The following is a 17,575-nucleotide window of genomic DNA, read 5'->3' as shown; positions in this document are numbered from 1 at the left end:
TTTGCACTGCTTATTTGTTCATTATTTTCATCCCTTTCCCCAATAAATGTTAAGCCCCCGATAGGAGGAATATTTTATATTTGTAAACTGTGTGTTTATAAAAATACAGAATGGCACAAGGACCTAGAGCAATTGGCAAATGGGATTATATAGATATTTCAGAATGAATGGGTGCTGGTTGACCCTGTGTTCAAAAACTTTACTGTGGTGTTCACTTTAGTCAGAGTTAAATAAATTAAAAAAAAAATCAGAGCTTGAAGGATGCACTGGAGTTGGGCAGGTAGCTATTAGGCATATGAGGAGGAGGGGACAGCCCAGCAATGATTCTGAGATGAGAAAGCTTGCCCTGCTTGAGGTGATTGAGTGGCTAATGTTGGGGGAGCATAGCACTGAAGGGGACTCTGGTTTTCCTGCTCCAAATGCCAGACCAAGTTGTTGGAATGCCAATCTTTCAGGAGTGTAGAGAAGCAGTGCATTTCAAACTTGGGAATGATGGGACAATGACCTTTTAGGGAGGTGATGCTAATGTTCTGGAGAGGAGAAATGGGAGGTGAGGCTGCAGCAGAATAAGGAGTAAGAGGGGCTCTCGGCTCAGGAGTGGTTGTGTTAAGCCGTGTTCAGAGGAAGCTCAGACATGCATCGTAGCATACTGGCACAGGAAGAGATGGAGGACTGGGACAGGAGGGGGCCATGTCTCTGGTTGGGTAATGGGGACAAGAGTGCCATCAGCGAGATGGAGAACCCATCAGGAGAAGTATGTTTAGGGGTGTGTCAACCAAGTGTTTCTGATGTTTTGACATCTGGGGCATTACTGACCCTTGAGAGACTGCCTTTCCCAAGGATAGTAGATTTCTAGAGCTAATAAAGGACTTGCATACAAGTGCACCTTTCATGTGCAAACCAGTCAATCTAAAGCCCACACTACCAGCTGGATCCTTTATTGAGCTCTTACACTCCAGACCACAATCCTCCTTAATAAACCCAGGGCCATGTACCAGACAACTAGAGACAACTCCTATACCCCAGAGTCTGCTGAAATTGTTCTAAGTAGCCAATCCTAAACCTGCCTAGCTTGCTTACCCTGTCTTGCCCATTCTTTTCCATGAAAGCCACAGTGAAGGCTCTTGTCCCATTTTCTCCTTGCTCCCTCTGCTTCCTGACTGACCCTGGTGCTTCTCCATATGGCCTTGCATGGTGTGGTGTGCCCTCTCGGGAACGGTGAATAAGAAACTATTTTTTTTTTCTTTTTGGGACAGAGTCTCTCTCTGTCACCCAGGCTGGAGTGCAGTGGTGCTATGTCGGCTCACTACAAGCTCTGCCTCCCGGGTTCATACCATTCTCCTGCCTCAGCCTCCCAAGTAGCTGGGACTACAGGCGCCAGCCACCACATCTGGCTAATTTTTTGTATTTTTAGTAGAGACGGGGTTTCACCATGTTAGCCAGGATAGTCTCAATCTCCTGACCTCGTGATCCGCCCGCCTTGGCCTCCAAAGGTGCTGGGATTGCAGGTGTGAAACACTGTGCCCGGCCAAGAAACTATCTTTTCAATGGCCATCATCTCCTGATCTGTTGGCCTCAACGTACCTGAAAAATATTAAAACCTACACTGTTAAACAGGAGGAAAGACAATAAGCTCAGTTCTGGAAATGCTGAATGGGGCATGACGGTGGGCCACATTGGGAGGAGGTGTCTGCAGGACAGACTGGATGCCAGGATGCCCCATCACTCACCGGGGAGGCTGACCCTGTGGTAGGGTGGGTGTCATTCCTGCCCACTGCTGTCCTGGCTGCTTTCCTCCTGTGGGTCTTCACTCTGATGGGAGACACCAGGGTCTTTGAGCCTGGTTTTCTCAGGCTGTGGGGCCATTGTTATGAGCCTGGAATGAGGGACTTTGGCAGGTAAAGGGTGGGATTAATCCAGGAGCCCTCAAACAAGACTTAGTCACAAGGTCTCCCTCTACCTCCCACTCCTTGGACATCTGAGATCAGGGCCCTGGAATAGACCCACGCCTATCCCAGTGGCCACAGGCTGGATTCTGTACATCATCACACCCCCTGCCCTTTCTCCAGCCCTCACAGCCCCTCCAGGACCCTTCTACACCAGGTCCATCCTCTTCACCTCTGGCCCATGCCTGACCCAGAGAAAATGCTCACATGAAGAAGATGAGGCAGAGACAAAGAGCGAGCAGGGCTGTAACACCAGCTCCTCCAATGGCCCCATGAACCACTCCTGCTCTGGTCTCTTGTTTCCCTGCAGACAAAAAAGATTTGGGGTGAATTCTAATCTAGATAAACAGGTATGTGTATCCTCCTCTCCAGCATGTAGAGAGGGGTGACTTCACCTCCAAAATGGGGTTTAGCTCCTAGATCTTCCCACCCATCATAGACATCAATATTGACCACGACCATGAGATGAAGTACACAGTGCACCTGACACCTCTTGTCCCACCCTCTCTCTCTGGTGCACAAAACATCATCTCTCCTAGGACTCAGGTTCCTCTCCACCCTGGGTCTTTCTGAAATGAACCTCAGACATAGCCCCTGAAGGACTGTGAAGCTCTGAGCCTCTTGGATGAGAGAGAGAGAAAGCACTGGAATGCTGATAGGCCTTGTCTCTTCTTTCTTCCCACTGGCCCCATCACTTAGGGTCAAAGGTGGTCCTTTTGGCCTTAAAAAGGGCCTGGAAGCAGGGTGGGGCAGGGAGGTGGTTCTCAGACCTTCTTAGACCCAGACAGTTCTCCTGGACCTGCCTGGCTGTGCCTTCTAGGTCCCAACACTCAGAGTCAGGGGCGTGTCTCTGAGCATCATTGTTAACAGTTTGATAACCACTACTGAGGGAACTGTTCCTGCTCTCACTGGGCTCACTGTCCACTGAGGTGCCAGATGCCATTATTAATTGGAATAGGGCAGTGGAGAGAGCACTGGTCTTTGGACAGAGGCCAGGGCTAAGGGTTGAGGTATGGACAGTAGAAAAAAATGCCCTAAAGAGATTTTTAGGGAAGTGTGACTATTCTATATGATACTCTCATGGTGGATTCATGTCATTATACATTTTTAAAAAGCCTGTAAAATGTACAACACCAAGAGTGAACTTTAATGTAAACTATGGGCTTCAGGTGACAATGATATGTCAATGTAGTTTTATTGACTGTAACAAATGTACCACTCTGATGGGGGATGCTGATGGCCGGGGAAACTATGTGTAAGGGTAGAGGGCATACGGGAAGTCTTAGTATCTTCTGCTCAATTTCTTCATGAAAAATAAGGTTCATTTATAAATGCTCCCAAGATGATCAGCGACTAGAAGATTCCACTCAATTTTGCTGTGAAACAAAAACTACTCTGAAAAATAAAACCTATTAAAAAAAAATGCCCCCATTGGAGCAAAATGGCTCACCGGAGGTGCCTGGAGCTCATCCTCCCCCGTGTCACCAGACAAGAAAGGACCAAGGCAATGAATAAACCACAGCAAAGATTTGAGTGGAGTGTCGAAGGGAGAGTAGTGTAGTGCAGCAAGGGAGTGGAGAGTTACCTGTGGTAATTGGAAACCCAGGAGGGCAGCATGGAGGCACCCGGGCTTTGCAGCTCCATCTCCCCAGCCCAGATTGGTTTGTCCCAGAGACAGGAAGGATTTCCCCTTGTAGGGAAATGATAAGCAGAGGAATCCAACCAACCTCCAGTGCCACTGCAGATACCTACATTCCTTACTACAGGTTAATCTTACAGTCCTCACAAGCTCTGAGCACAGTTGGAAGAGCTGCCAGGAATTCACACAGCTGCATGGAGCATTTGGTGTGCACTCCCAACTCCCTAACCAGCCCCTGCGGGCAAGCTGCTACAACACAGAACCATCTTGAGACCACAGCCATCTCTGGAGTGCACCCTCCTCTGGGGGCCAGTGGCATGCACCTCTTTATCATTGTGCATCTTCATTCCACTAAACCTGCAGTAGTGGCTGAATACCACAATTAGAGCTGCATGGAGCCTGGGCCCAGGATTGGCTGGGACTCTGGCCCTGAACAGCAGAGAAACCAACCCCTGCTGCCCGTACTTCCAGCTGGAGGAAAGGTCTTATAGTCCCACTCAGGGCGAACACACAATTGAGTTGGCCAAACTACTGTGCATGCTCACCTGAATGGGAGAGACCTCTGAGCCAACAAAGAGTTGATACATCCCCAGGCTGGGGTAGTGGTTATGTGCTCACACACAGGCTCTGAGAAACAGCCTTACGGTGCCCAGACGCCTTCTGTGGACATGACTCTGGCCTGCCCAAAGGCCACTCTCCCACAATTAGGGCCTGAGAAACAGCCTTGTGAGCCAACCCTTTTAGACATGACCCCAGGCAGAATGTGCTTGCATTCCAGGCCTGAGAAACAGCCCCATGGGCTACCACTGGCTGGTACACCCCCTAGGCCAGCTGAGCAGTCTTACACTCACATCCCAAACCCTAGATAAAGCTCTGAGTGCTACTCCTGGCAAAAACACACCTAGGCCAGCCAAGAGTCATTCAGCTTCATCTCAGCCCTGCAAAACAGCCATGTTGGCACCTCCAGCAGATATGCCCCCAGGTCAGCCAAGTAGTTGGGCACCTGTGTCCCATTGTTTTAATTCATGACTTGAAAGAGAAATTTAACAGAGAGATAGATATTATATAAAAGAACAAAGCAGAACTCCTACAGCTGAGAACTCAATAAATGAAATAAAAAACCGCAATCGAGAGCTTCAACAACAGGCTAGGTCAAGAAGAAAAAATAATTTCTGAACTTGAAGACAGATCTTCTGAAATAACACAGGCAGGTAAAAATAAGAGAATAAAATAGAACGAAGGAAACCTACAGGACTCATGGGACACAATCAAGCAAATATTCACATTATGGTATTTCCAGGAGGAGAAGAGAATGGAAAAGGTGTAGAAAACATATTTAATCCAGTAATAGGTGAAAACTTCCCAAGCCTTGGGAACTAGAAGGACATCCAGGTCCAGGAAGCTCAAAGTACTCTCAAAATATTCAACCCAAGCAAGTCCTCTCCAAAGCTCATTATGCCAAATTGTCAAAAGTCAAGTAAAGAATTGTAAAAACAGCAAGGTAAAAGTATCTAGTCACATATAGGATTATCCTTATTAGACTAACAGTGAGTTTCTCAGCAGTAACATTATATAGGCCAGGATAGAATGGGATGACATACTCAAAGTACTGAAAGATAAAAAACTTAACAGTCAAAAATACTATACCCAGAAAAGCTATCTTTCAGAAAAGAAGGAGAAATAAAATATTTCATAGATAAGCAAAAACTAAGGGAATTCTAATCACTCTTAGACTGGCCTTACAAGAAATGCTCAAGGGGCCAGGCACAGTGTGGCTCATGCCTATAATCCCAGCACATTGGGAGGTGAAGGCAGGCAGGTGGACCACTTGAGCTCTTTAATTTGAGACCAGCTTAGGCAAATGGCAACACCCTACCTCTACAAGAAACACAAAAATTAGCTGGGCGTGGTGGCACATGCCTGTAGTCCCAGCTACTTGGGAGGTTAAGGCAGGAAGATTGCTTAAGCCCAGGAGGTCGAGACTATAGTGAGCCGTGATCATGCCACTGCACTCCTGCCTGGGCGACAGAGTGAGACACTTTCTCAAAAAAAAAATAATAAAAATAAATAAGAGAAGAAAAAGAAAAGAAATGCTCAAGGGAGTCTTACATCTGGAAGTGAAAAGGCAAAAACACGTGAACTTAAAACTCACTGACAGCCCATACACAAAGAAGAAAGAGAAAGGAATCAAATCTTATCACTACAAAAAAAAAAAAAACATCAGCCAACCACAAAAAGAAACAATAAGAGGGGAAGTAAGGAACCAGGAATATATAAAACAATCAGAAAACAATCAATGAAATGAAAATAACCTATTAATAATAATGTGTATGTAAATGGATTAAATTGTCCCATTTAAAATATATGGACTGCCTGAATGAATGAAAAGAAAATCTAGACTCAGCTTGTTGGGGTGATCAGATCCAACACTAGGCCGTGGGGGCCACGAAGTCCAGCGGAGTCAAAGGAATGAGACAAGACAAGTTAATAGTACATAAAGTGAGTCCAGGGGGCCGACGCTAGTATGGAGGCTGTGAAGGCCCCGAGCTCTGGGAGCCCACACTATTTATTGGTAATCAAACAAAGAAGCAGGTGGTGAGGACGTGCAGAAGTGGGGATAGACAAGTGAGAACGTGAGGACTTTGGGGTAGAAAGGTAGCGGTGCATCAAGCATAGCTGTGACGGTTTAGCATATGCTCTGCTACTTGAAATAATGGAGAACAAGTTCTTTTCACTCAAGATACAATCAATTTATGATCCTGGGAGAGCAAGGAGCAAGGGGCCAGCAAGTCTGGACACATTCCAGAGGCTATGAGGGGTTTTATGCCCAGAGCCCTGGATTCTTTCCAAGCCACGAGGGGTTTTATGCCCTGGGCTTAGATTGCAGTGTGGCAGGGCAGCCTTCCACCCTTAGGCACAGAGCTTGGTGTTCCATAGGCCACGAGGGGTTTGAGACCCTGGACCCAGGACATGTTCCAAGACTCTTTTACATTATGTCAGACAAGCAAGCCCTGCCTCAGCCCTTCTACCAACACAGCTATATACTGCTTACAAGAAACTTATCTCACCTAGAAGACACACATAGACTGAAAAGGAAGAGATGGAAAAAGATATTCTACCCAAGTGGAAATGAAAGGAAGCAGGAATAGCTATACTTATCTCAGACAAAACGGACTACAAGTCAAAAGCTGTAAAGAGACAAAGAAGGACATTATATTATTATAAAGGGGTCAGTTCAGCACTATAATATAACAACTGTAAATACATATGCACACAACACCAGAGCACCCAGATATGTAAAGCAAATATTATTAGATATAAAGGGAGAGATAGACTCCAATACAATAATAGTTGAGGACTTCAACGCCCCACTCTCAGCATTGAACAAATCATCTAGACAAGATTAACAAATAAACGTTGGATTTAAACTGCACCATATACCAAATGAACCTAAGATATTTACAGAACATTTCAACCGACAGCTGCAGAATACACATGGTTTCATCAGCATGTGCAACATTCCCAAGGATCGACCATATGTTAGAACACAAAACAAGTGCCAAAAATTTTTAAAAACCAAAATGTATCAAGTATCTTATTTGACTACAATTGAATAAAACTAAAAATCAATACCAAGGGAAACATGCAAACTATACAAATACACAGAAATGAAACAAAATGATTCTAAATGACCAATAGTGAAGGAAGAAATTAAGAATGATATTTAAAAATTTCTCAAAATAAATAAAAATAGAAATAAAATATACCAAAACCTATGGGACACAGCAAAAACAGTTTTAAGAGACAACTTGAGAGAAATAAATGCCTACATCAAACAATTAGACAAATTTCAAGTAAACCATTTAACTGTGCATTTCAAGAAACTAGAAAGCAAGAACAAACCAAATCCAAAATCAGCACAATGAAAGAAATCATAAAGATCAGAGCAGAAATAAATGAAATTAAAAAAAAATCAATGAACAAGTTCGCTTTTTGGAAAAATAAATAAAATTGACAATCATTAGCTAAACTAAGAAAGAGACAGAAGACATAAAAATTAATAAAATCATAAATAAAAAAGAAGATGTCACAATGGTTACCACAGAAATACACAGGATCTTAGACACTACTATGAACAATATGCCAACAAATTTGAAAGTCTAGAAGAAATGGATAAGTTCCTGGACACATATAATCTACCGAGATTGAATCAAGAAGGTATAGAAAACTTCAGCAGACAAACAACAAGTAATGAGATTGAATGAATAATAAAAGGCCCCCCAACAAAGAAAATTCCAGGGCTGGATGGCTTCAGTGCTGAACTTTACTGAACCTTTAAAGAAAAAAAAATTATGCCAACTCTTCTCAAACTATTCCAAAAAATTGAAGTGGAGGCAACTCTTCCTAACTCATTCTACAAGGCCAGCATAACCATGACACCAAAATCAGAAAGGAGACAATAAAAAAAGAAAACTAGAGGCCAATATCCCTGATGAACATAGATGCAAAAATATTCAACAAAATAGTAGCAAATCAAATCCAACAATACATCAAAAAGATAACATACCATGATAAAGTGGGATTAATCCCAGAAAGGCAAGAATGATTCAACATATGCAAATCAATAAATGTTATACATATGTCAACAGAATGAAGGACATAAACCGTATGATCACCTAAATAGTTGCAGAATAAAAAGCATGTGTTAAAATTCAATATTGTTTCATGATAGAAACTCTCAATAAATTAGGTATAGAAGGAAAGTACCTCAACACAAAAAAGGCCATATATGACAAACCCATGGCTAACATCATACTGAATGGAGAAAAGCTGAAATCTTTTCCTCTAGGAACTGGATGTCCACTGTTATGACTCTTATTTTACATAGTACTGAAAGTCCTAGCCAGAGCAATTAGGCAAGAGAAAGAAATAAAAACCATCCAAACTGGAAAGGCGGAAGTCAAATTGTCTCTGCAAATAACATACAAAAACCTAAAGACTTGGCCAGGCGTGGTGGCTCATGCCTGTAATTCCAGCACTTTAGGAGGCCAAAGTGGGCAGATTGCTTGAGGCCAGGAGATCAAGACCAGCTTGGCCAACATGGTGAAATTCCATCTCAAAAACAAAACAAAACAAAACAAAACAAAACAAAAACCTAAAGACTCTAACAATAAAACTCTCAGAACTGATAAATGAATTTAGTAAATTTGCAGGATGCAAAATCAATATACAAAAATCAGTAGCATTTCTACACACAATGAATTAGCTGAAAATAAATCAGGAAGGCAATCACATTTACAATAGCTATAAGAGAATGAAGTATACCTAGGAATAAATTTAACCAAGGAGGTGACAAGCCTTAATAAGAAAAACTACAAAACACTGAGGAAATAAACTGAAGAGGATACAAACAAATGGAAAGACATTCCTTACTCATCAGATGAATTAATATTGCTAAAATGATTATACTACCCAAAGAAATCTACAGATTCAAACCTGGCTCTATCAAAATATCAATGTAATTCTTCACAGAATTAGAGGAAACAATCTTAAAATTCATATGGAACTAAAAATAGCCTGAATGGTCAAAGCAATCCCAAGCAAAAAAGAACAAAGCTGGAGGTATCACACTACAAGATTTCAAAATTTCAAAACTAGAAAATTTCAAAATTTCAAAAATTTAAAGATTTCAAAACTACAAAGCTGTAGTAACCAAAACAGCATGATATTGGCATAAAAGCAGATACATACACCAATAATACATAATAGAGAACACCGAAATTAATCCACGATCTACAGCCAACTGAATTTTGACAAATGCATGAAGAACACTCATTGAGGAAAGAGCAGTTTCTTTAATAAATGATGCTGGGAAAACTGGTGCCATATGCAGAAGAATGACATTAGACTCACACCTCTCGTCCTATACAAAAATCAATTCAAAATGGATCAAAGACCTGAATATAAGACACAAAATTTAAAAAATACTAGAAAAAAACATAGGGGAAATGCTTTAGGACATTGGTCTGGAAAAATATTTTATGAGTAAGACCTCACTAGCACAAGCAACAAAAGCAAAAGTAAATAAATGAGATGATATCAAGCTAAAAAGCTTCTATGCAGAAAGGAAACAACCAACAGAGTGAAAAGGCAACCTACAGAATAGGAGAAAATATTTGTCAGCTATTCATCTGACAAGTGATTCATATCCAGAACATACGAGGAACTCATACATCTCAATGGCAAAGAAACCCAATCTCATTTAAAAATGGGCAAATTATCTGAGTAGACATTTCTCAAGAAAAGATATACAGATGGCCAACAAGTGTATATGAAAAATGCTCAACGTCACCAATCACCAGGGAAATGCAAATCAAAACCACAATGAGGTAACATCACCCCAGTTGGGAGGACTATGATAAAAAAAAGATGAAAATTAACAAATGATGGTGAGGATGTAGAGAAGAGGGAACTCTTATATACTTTTGACCAGAATGTAAACTAGTATAACCACTATGGAGAAGAGTATGGAAGTTTCTCAAAAAACTACAAATAGAACTACCATATGATCCAGCAACCCCACTACTGGGCATTTATAGAAAGGAAAGGAAATCAGTATATTGAAGAAACGTCTGCACCTCAATGTTTATTGCAGCATTATCCACAATAGGAAGATATGAAATAAACCTAAGTGTCCAACAACAGATGAATAAATAAAGGAAATGTGGCGTATATACACAATGGATTATCATTCAGCCATAAAAAATAATGAAATCTTGTTATTCACTATAACATAGATTGAACTAGAGGACATTATGTTAAATGAAATAAGCTAGGAACAGAAAGTTGAATACCACATGTTCTCACTCATAAGTGGAAGCTACAAGAAGTTGATTTCATAGAAGTAAAAAGTAGAACAGAGAATAATAAGGGCTGGGAAGGTTAGGGGAACAATGATAAGGAGAGAGATTTGTTAAAGGATACTAGATTACACCTGGAAAGGAAGAATAAGTTCTGGTGTTCTATACCACTGTAGGATGACTATGCTTAACAATAATAGATAGCTTCAAATAGCTAGAAAGGGGATATTGAATGTTCCCAACAACAATGAAATAATAAATGTTCAAGATGATGGATATGCTATTACCCTGATCTGATTACTATACATTATTAGTATGGAAACATCACTATGCCATCCATAAATATGTACTATTATTACATATCAATTAAAAATAAAATACCCCAAGACATTCAGAGACAGGAGGGAGACAAAGAGCATTATTTGGATGGGCAAGGGGGAAGTTGCTAGTCATCCCCAAATATCCTTTTCCAAGGTGCCTGATGTCTACCCGTGTCTAACTGCAGGCCTTGCCTCTGAACATTTGACTCTGAAAGTCCAGATCTGACCAAACCTGACACAGACTCAATGTCAGTAACAGCCCCAGGCGGGGAGGCTCCTTCCTACCTGAGCCATCTCCTGGAAAGATACCAGTTGTTGGGTTCTGTGGAACATCTAGGAGAGGAAGAGAGGATTTCCTTCAGTTGGGGGTAGAGATGAGATAAGGGTAGGCATTTCCCCTTACTCCTGCCAGAAACCACAGAAATGCAGAAGGGACAGGGCTCATGTCCTTCTGGCTCCCGAACTCAGCCAGGCCTCCAGGACACTAAATGTCCCCAGCACCAGCCCATCCTGTCTCCCCTACACCCTCAGGGACCCCAGCATCCTGGCCCAGCACTTACAGGTGACGTTGAGCTGGATGGTTCTCTCCGTAGTCACACCAGCTCCAGCGAACTTCACCTGACAGGTCAGGTTGGTGCCGTGGTCCTGGGGCCGTGGGGTGATTATGAGCACCGAGGAGTGAGTAGTCCTGGGGCCCAGGGAGGTGGGGGCAGCTGACAACCAGGAGAAGATCGGGGGTGTTCCCTGCTCACAGGCCCAGGACACAGAGCAGGTCAGGTTTTTGGAGTGGCCGGGTTCTAGAGTGCCAGGGATGAGGATTTTGGGCCTGTGGGTCAAGTCTAGTGAGGAGAAAGAGGGGATGCAGAATCAGGAGGGAGGGTCCAGGTGAGGGCCTGAGAGAAGATCAACCTCTGGTCAAGCTCCCCCGCTAAGCACGACAGGCTTTACCCCTAAACCCCTCCCAGTACCAGGGTCCCATCCCAGCCCTGCCCTGCAGTACCCATGAACTTCCCTTGCGGCCACTTCTGAAGCCTGTGCCTCACCTGTCACATGCACAGAGAGCTGGGGAGATTTGTAACTGTATTTGGTACTTCCTCTCTCCATCCGAAAGAAGTATGAACCATTATCCCTCCTCCTGGCGTCTACGATGCTCAGGGAGCAGTTGTTCCTACTGGGATCCCCAAGGAGGCGGAATCTGCCCTGAGTCTCCTCCTGTACTTCTTGATCTAGCTTGTTTGTGGCCACTGGAGAGTCCCTGGATATAATGGCTCCTTCCCGGAACCAGTAACCATGAACTGGGGAGTTCTTGTCGTAGTAGGGTATGGGATGGAAGAAAGTGCAGGGCACGAGGACGCACAAACCCTCCTGTACCGTCACTGACTCCTGCACTTGCAGCCAGAAATTTGGATCCATAGCCAGGGCCCCTGTGGGGAAACGAGGGTCAGCTCGGCCCAGCCCGACAACCCCTCTCCCCACAGCCACTCACCTGCCCACAGCAGGGGCAGCAGTAGCAGCAGCGGCATGTCTGAGGAAGCAGCTTCCAGGGCTTCCTGTGTGAGCAGAAAAGAGGAAGGGAGTGGAGGGGAAGGACTACAGGGCCGGACAGGAAGCTGGGGAGGAGCAGGAGACCTCAGCCCTGCATGGAAGAGGAACCTCAGACCCACACATGCTCAGAGCTTGTCCCCTCCACACAGATTGACCCTCATGGGCCAGAGATGCCAGAGACCCGCCCAGAGATGGGAGGAGATGGAGCAGAATCTGAGTCTTGCCTTCCAGGAGCACCAGAGCCTGGATCAGTACCTTCAGGGCCATCTGAGACATGCGAACCCCATGTCTAAAGTCCTTCCACTCTGAGGTGCTTTTCTGTGCACAACTGTTTACACCAGGGCTGATCACTGCTGGCCTGGCCCGAGTCGCAGCCTCACCTAGATCCATGGGGTGTTTAGTCCAGCAGGATATAGGATTCTATAGGGTCCGTGTGAGTGTCTGGGGCAGAGAAACAAAGAAGAGTCCTAGGTAAAGTGAAGGTGGCAGCCATTCATTTATTCATTCATTCACTAAAGATATAGTGAGTGACAGAGCAGGAGCACCGTCATCTCGGAGAAACACTGCCTCTTTAAGTTCCAATTTCCTTTCTAGCCTCATGCATTTCAAGGAAATCACTTCTCTGCTAACTACAAGCAACCAGAAAGAGCAGACAGTGAAACACAGATAAGACAGCTCGGGCACAGAGGGAGGTAGGGGGAGAGTCTCTTGAGTTACTGCCAAACTTCACCCTCATACAATGGCCCTAGTAAAACAGTGGGCCTTAATAAGCAAATTCCTTTCCCTTCAGGTGCACTAAGATAGGGAAGCTAAAAGCAGACTCAGTGGGTATGCCTGTAGCTGCAGAAAGATGTATGGGTACAGACACACACCTCTCTCTCCCAGATAAGCACAACAAAGAGACTCAGAAGCAGTCCAAGTCTCTGATAAACTCTCCCACCCTAAATCCTTAAAAACTCTTAGTCTGTAAGAGAGTGTGCCTCTGACTTAACTCGGCCAGAAACTCCTCTCAGGTTTGTTTTCTCTAAAATCTGTCTTGACTGGTGAGCCACCATTCGTGTTTCTTTCCTCTTTCTTTAATTCTTACAGTGAGCCTTTGTGTATAGGTGGGGCTTGAGAAGAGATGCCACTGACCTGATTCCTGCCCTTAAGATACTCCCCATCCATAGCCTCATGTCCTCACCACACACACACATGCTGTCTGGCTTTAGAGCTGTGAAAAGTTGGGAATTTGCCATGTATCATGGTAGCATATTGGAAATTTTAAAAGAAATATGACTATAGAATTTTCCCCTGGCACCTAGTACACTGATTTGCACAGTGTCAATGACATCTCCAAAACAAGAACCATGCAGCATCTTCCTGTGAAACAAAAGGGAGAACACATGTTCTATGAACCAGTGCAGAAAAAACTTCTTTTCCATTCATGCTGCCATTTGGTTCAGTGTGGGCAGAAGCAAGTTTTTTTAGAGGCTCATCATATGGATCAACATTTTCTTTCATGTAAAAATCTGCTTCTCACAGTTAAATATGGCCCAAAGACATAATATTTCCAGACAACATGAGTGGAGTGTACAGAGAAAATTAAACTTTAGGTCCAGCTACATGGTTTTCCATATCACTCTGTGTAGTATGCATCCAGCAAACCGTTGATCCCTGGGACATATTAGTACTTGCCACCATACCTTTGTCAAATCTCTACACACAATAGTATCTAGATAACTCTTCATTCATCCTTACTAATAGAGAGGTAGCTGCATCCTCATTTGATATACAACAAATTAAGTCTCCAGTAAATAATATCTGTTGTAAGTTATTTAAATATTTAGCATGTGGCACGTAATAGAAAATTCAATACATTTAGTGCTTTTTTTTTTAAGACAGGGTCTTGCTTTGTTGCCCAGGCTGGAGTGCACCGGCCTGACCACAGTTCACTGCAGCCTTGACCTCCCAGACTCAAGTGACTCTCCCACGTCATCCTCTCTAGTAGCTGGGATCACAGGCTCATACTACCAGGCCGGAGTAACTTTTTGTTTTTATGTTTAGGAGAGATGGGGTCTTGCTATGTTCCCCCAGGCTGATCTTGAACTCCTGGGTTCAAGCAATCCTCCCACCTCGACCTCCAAAGTGCTTTGACTATGGGCATGAGGCACTGTGCCCAGCCACATTTAGTTTTAACAATAAAGTCATACTATGTTCATGGACCAGAAGATCAAATATGAATATGTGAGTCTTACTGTGTTTCTTTAATGAATTTAATTAGGTATAATTTACATGAAATAAAGCACACCTACTTGAAGTTCACATTTGCATGAGATTTGACGAGTATGTACAGCCTGTATACTCACCACACTGCAGATATACAGCATTTCTAGTATGCCAAGGGCTTTTCTTCCCACCTTCTATGCTGGGCAACCACTGATATGTCCTCTTTCATTGTGAGTTAGTCTATTTGAAAATCTCCTAGAGATGTGTTAATTTGTGTCTGTATCCTATGACCCAGCATAATATTTTTTGAAACTGAACCACGTTGTTTGTGTCTGTATTTCAAAATGTGATATTGTTAAGTAGTATTCCATTTATGTGTATACTATAATGTTTTATTTCTCACCTATTGATAGACAAGGATTTTCCAGTTTTCTCCCTACAGGTATTCAGGTACAAGTCTTTTTACATACATGGTTTTATACTAATTGGTATACACAGGAAGATAAATAGTCAGACTAATGACTACTTGTAAGTTTAACCTTAGTAGGAATTGCCAAACTGTTGTCCAAAATGGTTTTGACTTTTTACCACTCCTCCTAGCCATGTGCCAGAATTCCAGTAGCTCCACACCCTTGTCGACGTATGATACTGTCCTGCTTTATATTTGAACAATTCTAGTGAGAGCATAGTGGCATCCAGTGTTTTAAATTTTTTAATTTATTTAAAGTTAGATACAGTTGAATTAACTCTTTATCATATGCAATTTTGATATGGTTTGAGAGTTGTATATAATTATATACCCACAACCACTGTGAAGACACTGAAGAGTGTCATTAACCAAACGTTCCTTCCTCCTGTCTCTGGGTAGTCAACCCTCCCTCCACACTTAGTCCATGAAAAAATGCTGATATGTTTTCCATCCCTACTGTATTGCCTTTTCACAGAATGTCGTATAAATGGAATCATACAAAATGTTGCCTCCAAAGTCTGGCTTCATTTACTTGGTGCAGTGCCTCTGAGGTTCAATCATGTGGTTGAGTGTATGAATCTATAGTTTGTTCCCTTTAATTGCTGACTCGTAACTCACTGTTTTTATGGACCCCCCATTTTGTATGCATTTACCATTTGAGGAGCATTCAGATTGTTTTCAGGTTTGGGTGACTATGAAATAATGTTGTTATAAATATTGGCATGCAGGTTTCTGTGTGTAACTGTAAGTTTTTATTGCTCTTGGGTAAATACTTAGGAGTCAGGTGCCTGGTCCTATGGTAAGTGTTCAGTTTAAATTTATAAGAAATTGTCAAACTGTTCTCCAAAGTTGATGTGCCATTTTGTATTCCCACCAGGAGTTATGTGTGAATTCTGATTGTTTCACATCCTTGTTAACATTTGATATTATCAGAATATTTAAACATTTCTTTTTATTTTTGTTTTGTTTTCTAGTTATGTTCTCAGGTATGTAATGCTACCTAAGAATGCTTATTCTCCTGATTTATAATTACCTAAGGACAAATGATCTTTAGTATGTTTTCATGAGCCTGTTTGCCATCTGTTTTTCTTTTCTGGTGAGGTGGCTGATAAAACCTTTGGCTACCTTTTTAAAATATTGTGTTAGTTCATTCTTGGCTTGCTATAGAGGAATATCTGAGACTGAGTAATTTATGAAGAAAACAGATATATTTTGGCTCACAGTTCTGCAGGCTGTGCAAGAAATGTGGTGCTGGCATTTGCTTCTGGTGAGGGCCTTGAGTACTATATTTTTTTGAGAAATGTGATTCACACCCTCTGTCCATTTTTAAGTGTTGTTTATTTTTTGTTATTGTTGAGTGGCTGCTTTTTCATTTACACAAAATTGGGCCTTTTGTTGTTGTTGTTGCTGTTGTGGTTTACTTATGTTTTTGTTTTGAGAGTCCTTGATATATTCTGGATACAAGTCATTCATCAGATACCTATATTCAGGTGTTATCACCCTGTAACTTATCTTTTGGCTGTCTTATCAGTGTCTTTTATGGTATAATAGACCCCATTCCCATAAATACGCGTTACATGAGTTGGCCCACTAGTGTGTCAGGACGGAAAGAACAGAGAAAGTAATAGAAAGAGAAGGCAAGGTCTGGAGGGCAGATGGGGGCCTCCTAGGGGGCAGAAGATCACACAGCGGCTCAGTAATCTGAATAATGACCCCCAAAGAAAACTGGGTCTTAGTTTCTTGAGCCTGTATTGTTACTTTATAGGTATTCTTACAACTTTAATTAAATTAATGATCTTGACCAGTGGAAATCCTGGATTATGCAGTCAACCCTTACATCTAATCACAAGAGTCCTACAAGAGTCCTGATAAGAGAAAAGCAGAGGGAGATGTGATATACACAGAAGGAGGCGAGGCCATGTGGCCCCAGAGACAGAAGTAGGAGCAGTCCAGCCAAAATTCAAGGAATGACACCAGCCACAATAATGTGGAAGAAGCGAGGTATGGATCCTCTCAAGTCTCTGGAGTGTTGTAGTCCAACCAACACCTTCATTTCTGCCTGGCCTTACTGATTTCAAATTTCTAGCCTCCAGAACTGTGAGAGAATAATATCTTTTGTTTCAAAACATGGAGAGGAACTTTTCCTGGAGGAAATGCATAAATTCCTAGAACCATAAGATTCTGCCAAGATTGAATCAGGAAGAAATAGAAATGCTGAACAGACCAATAACAAGTAGTGAGATTGAACCAGCAATAGAAAAAAATCTCTCAACAAATAGAAGTCCAGGACCAGATGGTTTCACAGTCAAATTCTACCAAATGTACAAAGAATAACTCTCCCAAAATATTCAGGAGGAGGGAATCCTCTCTGACTCATTCTATGAAGCCAGTATGACCGTGATATCAAAACCTAGCAAGGACACAATGAGAAAAGTAAATTACAGTCCAATATCCCTGATGAACATAGACGCAAAAATCCTCAACAAAATACTAGCAAACCAAATTCAACAGCACATCAAAAAGATAATTCGTCACGATCAAGTAGGCTTTATTCCAGGGATGCAAGGATGTTTCCGTACATGCAAATC

The 17,575-nt window shown here is 42.5% G+C and overlaps 1 protein-coding gene and 1 long non-coding RNA gene across 15 annotated transcripts in view; one reads left to right on the top strand and one right to left on the bottom strand.

Annotated features, from left to right (window-relative positions):
* LOC107985327 (uncharacterized) overlaps window positions 1-17,575 on the top strand; it is an 84,260-nt gene that overhangs the window by 33,761 nt on the left and 32,924 nt on the right. The gene's annotated exons all lie outside the window — the stretch shown is intronic.
* CD33 (CD33 molecule) overlaps window positions 1-17,575 on the bottom strand; it is a 28,941-nt gene that overhangs the window by 2,610 nt on the left and 8,756 nt on the right. For 4 of the 14 annotated variants that reach the window (XM_017027508.2, XM_047439728.1, XM_047439729.1 and 1 more), the window contains 7 exons: window positions 12,566-12,751; window positions 12,252-12,315; window positions 11,809-12,189; window positions 11,326-11,604; window positions 11,051-11,098; window positions 2,154-2,250; window positions 1,731-1,812 (listed from right to left, as the gene is read on the bottom strand). In XM_017027508.2, coding sequence (XP_016882997.1) covers window positions 1,731-1,812; window positions 2,154-2,250; window positions 11,051-11,098; window positions 11,326-11,604; window positions 11,809-12,189; window positions 12,252-12,315; window positions 12,566-12,700 — 1,086 coding nt within the window. In that variant the 5' untranslated portion in view covers window positions 12,701-12,751. Of the gene's footprint in view, window positions 1-1,440; window positions 1,585-1,730; window positions 1,890-2,153; window positions 2,251-11,050; window positions 11,099-11,325; window positions 11,605-11,808; window positions 12,190-12,251; window positions 12,328-12,565; window positions 12,752-17,575 lie in introns of those variants that run through there. The other 10 variants (XR_007067046.1, XM_047439731.1, XM_047439730.1 and 7 more) reach the window with 10 other exon arrangements.

The sequence above is a fragment of the Homo sapiens genome, chromosome 19 (assembly GCF_000001405.40).
Source record: "Homo sapiens chromosome 19, GRCh38.p14 Primary Assembly".
Lineage (NCBI taxonomy): Eukaryota > Metazoa > Chordata > Mammalia > Primates > Hominidae > Homo > Homo sapiens.
The sequence above is the reverse complement of the archived record's forward strand: the minus strand, read 5'-3'. Positions and strand labels throughout refer to the sequence as shown.